Genomic DNA, 11,736 nt, shown 5'->3' with positions numbered 1-11,736 from the left:
CAGACAGGCCACTTGCTATTTATGGCCCTGCCTTAAAAAGTGTTGAAGAAGTAGCATCCAAGAACTAAAATAATAACTATTATTATAATAGCCAACATCTGCACAGCACCTCAAATATTGCAAGGTGTTATTTGCATAGATTATCTCAACTATGCATCACAATGAACCTGGTGCTATGTTCATTATTATTACATCACAGAGGCTTAATTGGGCCCTTACAGAAGACCTAGTCCAGGGATACTTGGCTCTTGCATGTTAATGTATCAGCCAACACCTCTCCTGTGCACCTATGGCAGACATCATTAATCCATCAAGGCACTCTCCTGTTTAGCCCAGTCCCTGCTTCAGAGCTCTTCTCAGTATTGTGACCCAGACAGCGGCTACCCATCAACCAGACTGCCACACAGGACAGAAAGTATTTTCCCATTGGGCTAGTCCATGTCCTTCATTTTGTATGTATGGGAAATGGGGCCTAGAGATGCTACCCAGTGAATTAGTGACAAAGCCAGGGCTTTCTCTTTCAGAACCCTGGACTCTTGGTCCATGTCAGAGGTCTTTCAACTCACCCCTGAATGTGGTTCAAGATGATTGGAATTCTGATATAACTGGGCATTGGAGCTTTTTTTTTTTTTTTTTTTGAGACAGAGTCTCGCTCTGTCGCCCAGGCTGGAGTGCAGTGGCGGGATCTCGGCTCATTGCAAGCTCCACCTCCCGGGTTCACGCCATTCTCCTGCCTCAGCCTCCCAAGTAGCTGGGACTACAGGCGCCCGCCACTACGCCCGGCTAATTTTTTGTATTTTTAGTAGAGACGGGGTTTCACCGTTTTTAGCCGGGATGGTCTCGATCTCCTGACCTCGTGATCCGCCCGCCTCGGCCTCCCAAAGTGCTGGGATTACAGGCGTGAGCCACCGCGCCCGGCCGGCATTGGAGCTTTTAAAGGTCCCCAGGAGACCCTAATGTGCAAACACAGTTGAAAACTGAGGCTTTCTCCTTCTATTAACAATGTTGACCATATTTTCCTGACGTTAAGAATCATCCAGGGCCACTCATTAAATACAATGTACATTTGTAAATGTATAGACCTAAATACAAGGTACATTTGTAAATGTGCAGACCTCTCCCCTGAAAAATCTGAGTCAGAAGGTCTAGACTGGAGCCCACGAAGCTGCAATGTCATAAACATCCCAGGTGATTCTGATCATCAGGGAAGTTGGGCAATACAGTTCCAAACAGGCCCAGCTGGGACTCTCTGCAAAACCCAAGAATAAGGGCAATCAGCTACTACTGAGTACTGGAAGGCGAGGATGATCTGGGCTTTATCTTTTTAAATAGCTGCAAAGACTCGTGTCCATTTACCAAGCAGTTGCCTTTTCTTTTTTCAGTCTAGATTATTACATAATCCATCTTGAGAATTTAGAAGAATAATATCGCCCTCGTGCCTGGCTTATATAGAAAAAGGGACAGCAAGAAGACAGATAAAGTGGAGCACAGAAAGAAGGATGAAATGAAAATTATTTGTCTATTTTAGACAAGCAATTTTCTCTAATGTTCTGTTCTCTTGTTTGGTTGTTCTAGTGAGAGCTCAAGGACCTTTTAAGGTGGAACGAATCTGGGGGTTGTTCTGGGGGAGGCAGTTAGCCTTGGGTACCTGGAAATATGGGTAGGAAAAGCTGGGAACAGAGCCCAGGAGGAACCAAGTGTCCAATGCCAACACCTGGGCCCAGAGGCCCCACTGCACACCCCACCTGGCCCTGGAAGGGAGAGGACAGATAAAATTCGGAGATTTCATCATGTCAGACGTGGAGTTGGGTTCTTTTCACCTGCATGAAAATACTGCAAAGTACTCATAATGTCTCCATTTTACAGATGAGCAAACTGAGGCTCAGAGAAATTATACTGTCTTTGGCTTCATCTAGGGACTTCTCATTCTAGAAGGAAAAAAACACAATTTAATCCAAAACTCTCAAAACTACCAAGAAGAGCCAGGTGCACAGGAACACTGGGGTGAGAATATGCTTGGCATTTTAAAAATGGAAACTAGAGTCATTTTTTTCATGCATGCATATTAATGGACAGAAGCTGCCTAGAAAATTGTAAATAGCAGATTCACCACTGAAATTTATTTGCCCTTGAGTTAATGCTAAAGTAGGTGACAAATCCAAAGCATGAAAGAAATGGGTCTGGATTTAAGAGGGGGCCAGGAATATGCACCAAAAGCCTTAAAAATGTGCACAACCTCTGGCCAAGCAATTTCACCTCTAGGAATTTCTCCTCCCGAAATAGCTGGGTAAGTGGGCAAAGAAGTCTTTACAAGGCAACATTGTTTATGGCTTTGAAAAACTGGAAACAACATAGTTGTCCAACAATTCACTTAATAAATATAGCATATTCATACCGGCAAATACCACATAACCATGAAAAATGATGTTAGGTCTGCTGACACAGAAAGCAGTTCATCACACATTTGCTGTGTGAGAAAAGCCTGCATTGGAGAAGTATGTGTGATATGATCATGGCTGTGTTAAAAACAAATAAACAATATTCCAGTAGTGATCAATTATCAGATATCAGATTATTAGAAATAGATCAGATATATAGCAAGACTTCAGCAGTGGCTTAGCAGATTATTATTTCTATATGGATATAAGTAGGATGAGAGATCACTTCTGTTTGTTGCTTTTTTTTTTTCCTTCAGGGAACATGTGTCACTTGAGTAATTAAATAAAAGCTTAAAAAGTCTTTCAAAGGAAAATGTTCCCAAGATCCTGCAAAACTGACTGTTGTCAGTGGTTTCTCCAGAAAGAAACTGCTGAACTGGGCCACGGGAAGGGGGCTTGCTTACACCACTGGTGAAAGGGAGGCAGAGGACAAACAAACCTGGAGGATGAGAAGGGGCAGGGGACGTCGATAGCAGGGGTCCAGGCCAGAAAATGATCAGGGAGGCATGGGGGCTCATATACAACCATTACCCACCTCCCTCCCACAGCCAGGTTACAAGCCACATGGGCATGGTAGGTCCTGCCCTGGATGCTGGTCCCTGGCCGACTCATGGCAGGTGGAGTTCGGCACCTTCCATACCCCATCCCTAGCACGTACAGTAAGTCCTCAGTTAACGTCCTCAATAGGTTCTTGGAAACTGTGACCTTGACAAAATGATGTATAATGAAATCAATTATTAGGGAAATGACACGGGACGAAACGACATCATTGAGAACCTGCTGTATGTCATTTTGCTTAAAGTTGCAGTTTCCAAGAGCCCATCGAGAGGACGTTAAGTGAGGACTTTCTGCATGTGGATCTATGGGGGCTGAGAGGCCTCTCGGTAAGAAATCGGAAACCTTGAACCACATCCACAGCTGGGGACATTCCTACTGAGAATGTCTGACCACCTTGGAGAGGGTGGGGTGGGTGGAGAATGAGGGTTCCTGCGAAGAAGTGAGGAGGTAAGGGACATTCAGCATAGGGGGCTCCCCTCAGAAACCAGCCTGGGTGCTGTTGGTGAGGGTGGTCCTGTTGTCTGTAGTTGTTGTTCTTTCAGGCAGAGAACAAAATCCTAAATCATGGGGCCGCTGGCTCTAGCCGGGCAGTGGGTCTGCGTTCAGGGGACAGCGTGTGTTTGTGTGTGTGTGTCTGTGTGTGTGTGTGTGCAAGCACGTGTGTGTGGGCGCATATGCACTCGCATGTATGTGTAACACTCAGGACCCAGAAAAAGGCCAAGCTACTGCTACCACTGTCCCTTAAAGATTGCAAATGCCGGCCAGGCGTGGTGGCTTATGCCTGTAATCCCAGCACTTTGGGAGGCTGAGGCGGGTGGATCCTGAGGTCAAGAGATTGAGACCATCCTGGCCAACATGGTGAAACTCCGTCTCTACTAAAAAAAAAAAAAAAAAAAAAAATTAGCCCAGCATGCTGGCACATGCCTATAGTCCCAGCTACTCGGGAGGCTGAGGCAGGAGAATTGCTTGAACCTAAGAGGTGGAGGTTTCAGTGAGCCGAGATTGCACCACTGCACTCCAGCCAGGGTGACAGAGTGAGAATCCGTCTCAAAAAGAAAAAAAGAGGCCAGGCGCAGTGGCTCACACTTGTAATCCCAGCGCTTTGGGAGGCTGAGGTGGGGGGATCACCTGAGGTCAGGAGATCTAGACGAGCCTAGCCAACATGGTGAAACCCTGTCTCTAATAAAAACACAAAAATTAGCCAGGCATGGTGGCGCGCACCTGTAGTCCCAGCTACTCGGGAGGCTGAGTCAGGAGAATAGCTTGAACCTAGGAGGTGGATGTTGCAGTGAGCTGAGATCACGTCACTGCACTCCAACCTGGGTGACAGAGGGAGACTCTGTCTCAAAAAAAAAAAAAAAAAAAAAAAAGGCCAGGCGCTGTGGCTCACGCCTGTAACCCCAGCACTTTGGGAGGCCGAGGCGGGTGGATCACAAGGTCAGGAGATCAAGACCATCCTGGCTAACATGGTGAAACCCTGTCTCTACTGAAAAATGCAAAAAATTAGCTGGGTGTGGTGGCGGGCACCTGTAGTCCCAGCTACTCGGGAGGCTGAGGCAGGAGAATGGCGTGAACCCAGGAGGCAGAGCTTGCAGTGAGCCAAGATTGCGCCACTGCACTCCAGCCTGGGCGACAGAGCGAGACTCCTTCTCAAAAAAAAAAAAAAAAAAAAAAAAAAAGATTGCAAACACTAGTTGCTAGGGTGATCAGGCAGCGACCCACAGACTTTGGTGGCCCTTGCAGAAGCCCATGTGGAAAGTGAGGCCAACAGAGGTAGCTGTGTCTCAGGGTCACCAAAGAAGCGGCACTGACTGGGCAGAAGGGGCAGAGGAGGCCAGGCAGGTGGCCTGAGATGAGCAGGAGTGGTGTCTGTCCTACCCTTGAGCCAGCCACTTTCTATTCTTGAACCATCCAGTGTCCAATCACTGCTGTCATAAACAACTGTAAATTTCATAACTTAATACAACGCACGTTTACTCTCTTGGTTCCGGAGAAGAAGTCCTCATGTCAAGGTGCTGGCGGTGCTGTGTTCCTTGTGGACACTCTAGGGGAGAATCTGTTTCCTTGCCTTTTCCAGCTTCTAGAAGCCACCTGCCGCCTTGGCTCCTGACCCTTTCCTTGCATCTCGCTGACCCTTGCCTTCTCTCCCTCTGCTTCTGCCACCATGTCACTGCCTCTGACTCCGACCCTCCTGCCTCCCTCTTATAAAGGCCCTGGGAGCAGAAGTAGGGGCCTAGGGTGAGCAGGCTTTGGTCATTAATATTAACTGGTCATTCAAACTCACAGATTAGTGAAGCTTAAGAATGCTTAGGGTTCGATACCAATGGGGAAACTGAGGCCCAAGGGGAGTTAAGGATCTGTCCAAGGCTGCAGGGCTAGTTTTCCAGCTTTCCTCCGTGCTGCCTGTCTGTTAAACTCAACTGACATTAGAAAAAGAGGAATATTGTTGTTGTCTGTGGTTGCTGTTCTTTAAGGCAGAGAACAAAATCCACCAGATTATTTTTCAGGGTTTGCTTTGCAAGTGAAGGCCCCAGAGCCCCCGAGTGTCATTAGTGCAGGAACTTGCTGTGCCTCTGGGCTCTTTGAAAGTTTCTTGCCTTGCTGGGGCCTCCATCCAGGGAACATGGAGGACTGGAGTGGGGTAGGGAGGGTGGACTGGGGCCAGAGGCACCCAGTGCTGCCACGTAGAGCAGTGGCAAACAATCGGTCCTCTGAGGCTGCCTGGCGGCTGTTGGTCACCCTTTGGCTATTTTTTTTTTTTTTTTTTTGAGACGGAGTCTCACTCTGTGGCTCAGGCTGGAGTGCAACAGTGTGATCTCAGCTCACTACAACCTCGCCTCCCAGACTCAAGCGATCCTCCCGCCTCAGCCTCCCAAGTAGCTGGGATTACAAGCGTGTGCCACCACGCCTGCCCAGCAATTTTTGTATTCTCAGTAGAGACGGGGTTTCATCATGTTGGCCAGGCTGGTCTCCAACTCTTGACCTCAAGTGATTCACCCGCCTCGGTCTCCCAAAGTGCTGGGATTACAGGTGTGAGCCACCCTGCCCAACCACCCTTCGGCTATTTCCACAGGAAGGAATGTTGTCCTCTGGCCTCGATTGGGGGTGGGTTCTGGGGGTGAAAGGAAAGCACTTGGAACCTACCCACTAAGAAAAAATTTCTCACAAGATCATTGACATTTTGCAGAAGTGACATGTGTGCATGTTTGGGTGGTGAGTGGAAGTGGGGAGGGGATTAATGCTTAAATTTGTTTTTCTTTCTAGAGCCAGCCAATTTCTCGCCGACATCAGAACACCTGGGTTTTAGTCCTGCCACTGGTTCTCTCCCAGTATGACTCTAAGTGAGTCTTGTGACTCCTCTGGGCCTCAGTTTACCCATCTGTAGAATCAAATGGCAAAATGGGCCGGGTGTGGTGGCTCACGCCTGTAACCCCAGCACTTTGGGAGGCTGAGGCACGTGGATCACCTGAGGACGGGACTTCAAGACCAGCCAGGCCAACATGGCGAAACTCCATCTCTAAAATACAAAATACCCTGACTAAAAATACAAAAATTAGCTAGGTGTGCTGGTGTACGTTTGTAATCTCAGCTACTCGAGAGGCTGAGGCAGGAGAATCACCTGAACCTGGAGGCGGAGGTTGCCGTGAGCTGAGATTGTGCCACTGCACTCCACCCTGGGTGACAGAGTGACACTCTGCCTCAGAAAAAAGAAAAAAAAGAAAAGAGTGGATAACCTCCTAGGTGCCCTCTGGGATTCCAGGACTCGGCCAGCTCATGCTTGGGTGCTTACCACAACCTCCCTGCTGGGCTCCCACTGCCCTCCTGTGCTCCTGGGGTCTCAAACCCACCTGCTCACTAGAACCAAACCCCCCTGACCACATTTGGGCTTTGCTCTCCGTCATGCTCCCACAACGCCCACCCTGGCGCCTGGCCCTCAGCAGGCCCAGCCCCATGAACTGGTAGGGAACGACTCAAAGCCTCCCAGAAGGAAGAGGTCAGCGAGCCCCCAGCACAGGGACTGGGCAAGGATTCTCTGTGCACCGGAGGGAAGCCCCTCTGTCTGGGTCCGTTCTGCAGGAGAACTGCAGAATCCCAGGAAACCAGTTGTTAAGGAGCCAGCAGCAGCCACTAAGTCAGATAATGAGTACTTGGGTTTTTCCAGCCCTGTTTACCTTGTGTTAAGTACACAAAAATGATGTCATGTGTGGCACAGCGGACGGGGTCTCTCTGGGCCTGGACTCTGGCCTCATCAGGGGCTCTCCCTCTCCTCACACCGGTCACCCCAATCCTCACCAGTATGGGTGGGCCTTGGGGAGGGGGCATCAAGGCCACATCAGAGTTCTCAGTTCTCTCCCAGCCTCCCATTTACTCCACTGCCCCCACCTCCCCAAGTTCAGCTGCTGTCATCTCTCAGCAGGAAGACCGCCCCATCCTCAGCTGGCCCTCCTGCTGCCACCCTATCTCCTCCACCTTTACCCCAGCCTGCAAAGCAGCACCCTGCAAAGCAGCACCCTGCCTGAGACCCTTGACTGACTCTAATTTTGCGCTCAGAAGAAAGCTTGGCCTGCCCTGAGGCCCTCGAGATCTGCCCCCGATCTCCTGCCTTGGAATACTTCCCCCCACACCCTGCGACTCCACGCTTTACCCCCCTCCACCCTCTGGAGCTCCTTGCACATTCTCGAAGCTTTACCTCCCCTCCTTGAGATCTTCATCCCTTGGGACCCCTTTTCTGCTCACACTGACTGTACTCCTACTCATCCTCCCTTCCTCAGGGGAGCCCTTCAGAGCCAACCCCTCCCCTACCACGTTCCCTCCTGTGCTCCCCCTCAGGGGGTCCTGCCCACAAAAGGAAAGCCACTGACATGTAGAGACTGCCAGACCTGCAAACTTTGCAAGACTCAGGAAGGGCCCTGGGGTTTGCCAATTACCTTAGGAAGAGATGTGGTGGGGTAGGAAGGAAGGGTGAGAACTTTGGTTGGGGAGGTAGGGAAGGCTTCCTGTAGGAGGAGGTGAAGGGGATGAGCCAAGGACTGCAGAAGAGGCCAGAAGGGGCCCTCTGGAGCTCCAGGCAGGGAGACCTCATCTTGTATCAACCCCAATTGCCTCCCCCACCTCCTTCTTCCCTCCCATTCTGCCTGGCTTTGGAACAATGGCCTGGGCCTTTCAGTAAAGGCTCACCAGGTGCTCCCAGCTTCCTCAGGGTCAGTGAGGATGGGCGAACACGGCCAGGTGGGGTGAGAGGGGTAACCTGCCCCTTGGTAGCAGCACACATGGTAGACCAGCCGGCAGTCACAGGAGGGCAGATCTGCAATATCCACTGTGGCCCCAGGCTGGTCTCCTCTGAACTGGCCCCAGCGGACTCAGTCGGAAAGGCCTCCTGTTCAAGAAATTGGTTCTCACCTGACATGAGGACTGAAGGCCTGGGGTTCCCCGTCAGGCAGCCTCTCGGGAAGAAGTGTCCCCCCATCCTCATTCTTTGAGTACCTGCCCCTTGTGCAGACCCAATGCAGCAGAGCATCCAGTAGGGCTGCTGCCTGCAAGAGGCCACGTCTGAGGATGGGGAGACTCTGCGGGCCCATGCGGTAGGTAGTCTACTGAGCACTTGCTTGGTGCCAAGCTCCATCCAAGCTGGGGTCTAGGGTCACAGGAGGAGCAAGACTCCCTTCCTGACCTCCAGGGACACCTTGTCCAGGGCAGGAAACAAACACAAGAATCCTTCATGCTTCATGCACACTCAACTGAGGACAGAGGTCAACCATGTAGACGGGCACTCCAACAGAGATGGCAACAGATTCACAATGGCCAAAGCCATCTCAGTTCCCCTCACAGCTCCTCTGTGATGGGAAGGTAGATCACATTTTACAACACTTATGCATAGAGGGCACATTTGTGCACACACCCAAAACCAGGCAAGTGCCTTAACCACTCTCGACCTCAGTTTTGACTTTTGCTAAATGGGCTTATGTTGTGTAGCTGTTGTGAGACTGGATGCAGGAATGGATGTGACAGGGCTCACCTCTCAGTAGGTATCCAGTGTTAGCTTCCTAAGCACAAGCAGCCGTCTTGGTGTGGGGCAAGATGGCAGGTGGGGACAGGGGTCTCTGACAGATGAAGTTGGGACCCCAATGCAGGAAGAGTGGGGTGAGTTGTCTGGGGCCAAACTTCAGGATGCCAGGCTCTGGGCACTGCCTTTACCTTACCTCTTCCCCCTGCAGGGTCAGGGAGGTCCCCATCCTGCCCTCCCTTCTAGGCTCATGACAGACCAAGCCACCCCATGTCCACCACCCTGTTGCTCAGTTGATGGGTCATGAAGCCACATGAGCTCATTGTTCCGGCCTGTCCCAGCCTTGACCATTCTGCAGTGGAAGAGCTGGTCCTAACCTGGAAATCCCCCCCAGCAGGCAGAGGGAGCAGCGCCATGCCTCCCTCATCGTAGCTCCTGACTCGCTGGCAGTGGCAGCCACTTCCTCTGGCCAGGCTGGGCCAGCAGTTGCGCTGCCTATAAATAGAAGAGTGAGATTCCTCGTGGCCCAGTGAATGGCACTGACATCCTGCCTCCGCCTGACTGAGCCCTGAGTCACAGGCCCCTGCCGGAGGCCCTGCTGCTCTGGGCAGACCAGGCCTGCACCACTGACAAGGCCTAGGAGGAAGCATTAGGGCAGTCAAGAGTCCCTGGGGAGGCTGACTGAGGCTTAAAGAAACGGGGCTGGCATTTCCTCCCGGCAAGGCTGGCCAGGGCCCTGCACTCAGGCTGGCTGGTGAAGAAGCGTGCTGGGGGGCTGCGTGCATGCAGGCACGGTGTCAAGGTGGCCGGCCCCAGGAAACACAGCAGCCTCTACACTCCCTTCCAACAGTGCAATGGAAGGGGGGCGTTTCCCAAAAGCCTCATCTGTGCTCATGGCACCCTCATTCTGCCTTTGCTCATTTAAAAGCCAAAACCAAACCCACACAAGATAGGCACACCCACAGGAGCTCAGAAAATTGGTGGGAAGGCTGGAAAAACAGGCCTGGGCAAGGGCAGGAACCAAGACAGCTCCTGAGGGCCAAAAGGCGGGAAGGGCAAGCGCATAGATTGGGGGTGGGGAGCAGGAATGCGTGGCAGGAGGCAGCCGGGAGACTCTGACTGTCCTTGTCCTTCTGCCCATGAATTAGAGGAGTGGACAATCTTACTGGCTAGGTGGGTCACATGTCCACCCTATGGCAGGGCAGGGCAGAGGGAGCCTGGTAGACTCTGTCCAGCAGAGAAGAGGCAGTTCCTCCCCAAAAGAAACTAAAGGCCTGTGAGGAAAGGGAGTTGGGTGGTCCAGGCTCAGCAGATGCCCACCATCCATGCTCTGCTCTGAGAGGGCCATCAGACACCCACCTATCCAGCAGGCTCTCCCCACCGGCCCTCATTATTCCCCACTCCCGCCCTAGCTGCCTCGCACTCTAGCTTTTGGGATGTGTTTTATTTTGTTTTCTTGTTTCTTTCTCCTCCACTGGATCCACTGGATTCCACGCTCCATGAGGACGAGGACCAGGTCAGGATGTGTTCACCTTTCCCTGTGCAACTGGCACGTATTAAATGAATGAATGAGCAGCCTGCATGTGTGGGGCACACACACTCATGAGCACACCCCTTACATGCACTCCTCACACACACTCACTCCATAGGCACACTCTCCCCTCCATGGTGTTCTCATCTAGTTTAAGAAGTGTGCATAGTGGCTCATGCCTGCAATCCCAGCACTTTGGGAGGCTGAGGCAGATGGATTGCTCGAGCCCAGAAGTTTGAGACCAGCTTGGACAACATAGTGAGACCCCCATCTCTACAAAAAATACAAAAAATTAGCCAGGTGTGGTGGTGTTCGCCTGTGGTCCCAGCTACATGAGAGGATCACTTGAACCTGGAAGGCTAAGGCTATAGCAAACTATGATTTTGCCACTGCACTCCAGCAGCCCAGGTGACAGAGGCAAACCCTGTCTCAAAAACAAAATAAAACAAAACAAACATGAGGAGCCCACTCTCTCTCTCACTGTCACCTCTAAATCTCTCCCCAAATCCCAGCTGTGCGATTGCATTCTCTGCAGTCCTGAGCCATGAGGAGTGAGACATTCTCCTGATTCACACCCAGGCGTTGGTAATTTCTCAGTCCAGAGGGACTGGGGTGGAAAAACCTGCTCTTGCTCAGGAGGAGGGGAAGTAAGTTTCTGCCCCATTTAAAAAGCCTCACTGGGTCAGACCTGGGGCCAGCACTTTGGAAGGCCAAGGTGGGTGGATCACCTGAGGTCAGGAGTTCAAGACCATCCTGGCCAACATGGTGAAACCCCGTCTCTACTACAAATATAAAAATTAGTGGGGTGTGGTGGCATGCACCTGTAATCCCATCTACTCGGGAGGATGAGGCAGGAGAATCATTTGAACCCAGGAGGCAGAGGTTGCAGTGAGCTGAGATCATGCCACTGCACTCCAGCCTAAGTGACAGAGCAAGACTCCATCTCAAAAACAAACAACAAAACAAACAAACAAACAACAAACAGCCTTGCTGGTTCCCTGTTATCTACAAGTTGAAGCCCTACCTCCACTGCATGGCTTCTCAGCCCAGGCCAAACCTTGGGGCCACAGGGAATTTCTGCACTTCTCCAAATACCCCATGTTCTTTCCCATCTCCATGCCCGCATGCAAGCTGATCCTTCCACCTAGAATTCGTTTCGCTCCCCTCCCCTGGTCCCCATTGCTTGCTCACCTTGCAAACTCCTA

At 51.3% G+C, this 11,736-nt stretch overlaps 1 long non-coding RNA gene across 1 annotated transcript, besides 5 other annotated features; it reads left to right on the top strand.

The window, feature by feature from the left end:
- Nucleotides 1-339: 339 nt before the first annotated feature.
- LOC124903975 (uncharacterized) lies at nucleotides 340-1,527 on the top strand. The gene is made up of 2 exons (XR_007065705.1): nucleotides 340-415; nucleotides 1,383-1,527. It is a non-coding gene; the product is annotated as an uncharacterized LOC124903975 (long non-coding RNA).
- Nucleotides 7,004-7,858: an enhancer, noted in NCBI's record as "H3K4me1 hESC enhancer chr17:29925537-29926391 (GRCh37/hg19 assembly coordinates)". NCBI's record gives its function as "activates a minimal SCP1, AML or CMV promoter by ChIP-STARR-seq in primed H9 embryonic stem cells {active_cell/tissue: H9 hESC(primed)}" and the evidence as "EXISTENCE:reporter gene assay evidence [ECO:0000049][PMID:30033119]".
- Nucleotides 7,859-8,714: an enhancer, noted in NCBI's record as "H3K4me1 hESC enhancer chr17:29924681-29925536 (GRCh37/hg19 assembly coordinates)". NCBI's record gives its function as "activates a minimal SCP1, AML or CMV promoter by ChIP-STARR-seq in primed H9 embryonic stem cells {active_cell/tissue: H9 hESC(primed)}" and the evidence as "EXISTENCE:reporter gene assay evidence [ECO:0000049][PMID:30033119]".
- Nucleotides 8,910-9,774: an enhancer, noted in NCBI's record as "H3K27ac-H3K4me1 hESC enhancer chr17:29923621-29924485 (GRCh37/hg19 assembly coordinates)". NCBI's record gives its function as "activates a minimal SCP1, AML or CMV promoter by ChIP-STARR-seq in primed H9 embryonic stem cells {active_cell/tissue: H9 hESC(primed)}" and the evidence as "EXISTENCE:reporter gene assay evidence [ECO:0000049][PMID:30033119]".
- Nucleotides 9,587-9,726: an enhancer, noted in NCBI's record as "active region_12018". NCBI's record gives its function as "activates an Ori minimal core promoter by ATAC-STARR-seq in GM12878 lymphoblastoid cells {active_cell/tissue: GM12878}" and the evidence as "EXISTENCE:reporter gene assay evidence [ECO:0000049][PMID:35858748]".
- Nucleotides 9,775-10,641: an enhancer, noted in NCBI's record as "H3K27ac-H3K4me1 hESC enhancer chr17:29922754-29923620 (GRCh37/hg19 assembly coordinates)". NCBI's record gives its function as "activates a minimal SCP1, AML or CMV promoter by ChIP-STARR-seq in primed H9 embryonic stem cells {active_cell/tissue: H9 hESC(primed)}" and the evidence as "EXISTENCE:reporter gene assay evidence [ECO:0000049][PMID:30033119]".

Source organism: Homo sapiens, chromosome 17 (genome assembly GCF_000001405.40).
Source record: "Homo sapiens chromosome 17, GRCh38.p14 Primary Assembly".
Classification (NCBI taxonomy): domain Eukaryota; kingdom Metazoa; phylum Chordata; class Mammalia; order Primates; family Hominidae; genus Homo; species Homo sapiens.
This window is presented reverse-complemented; position numbering and strand designations above follow the sequence as displayed.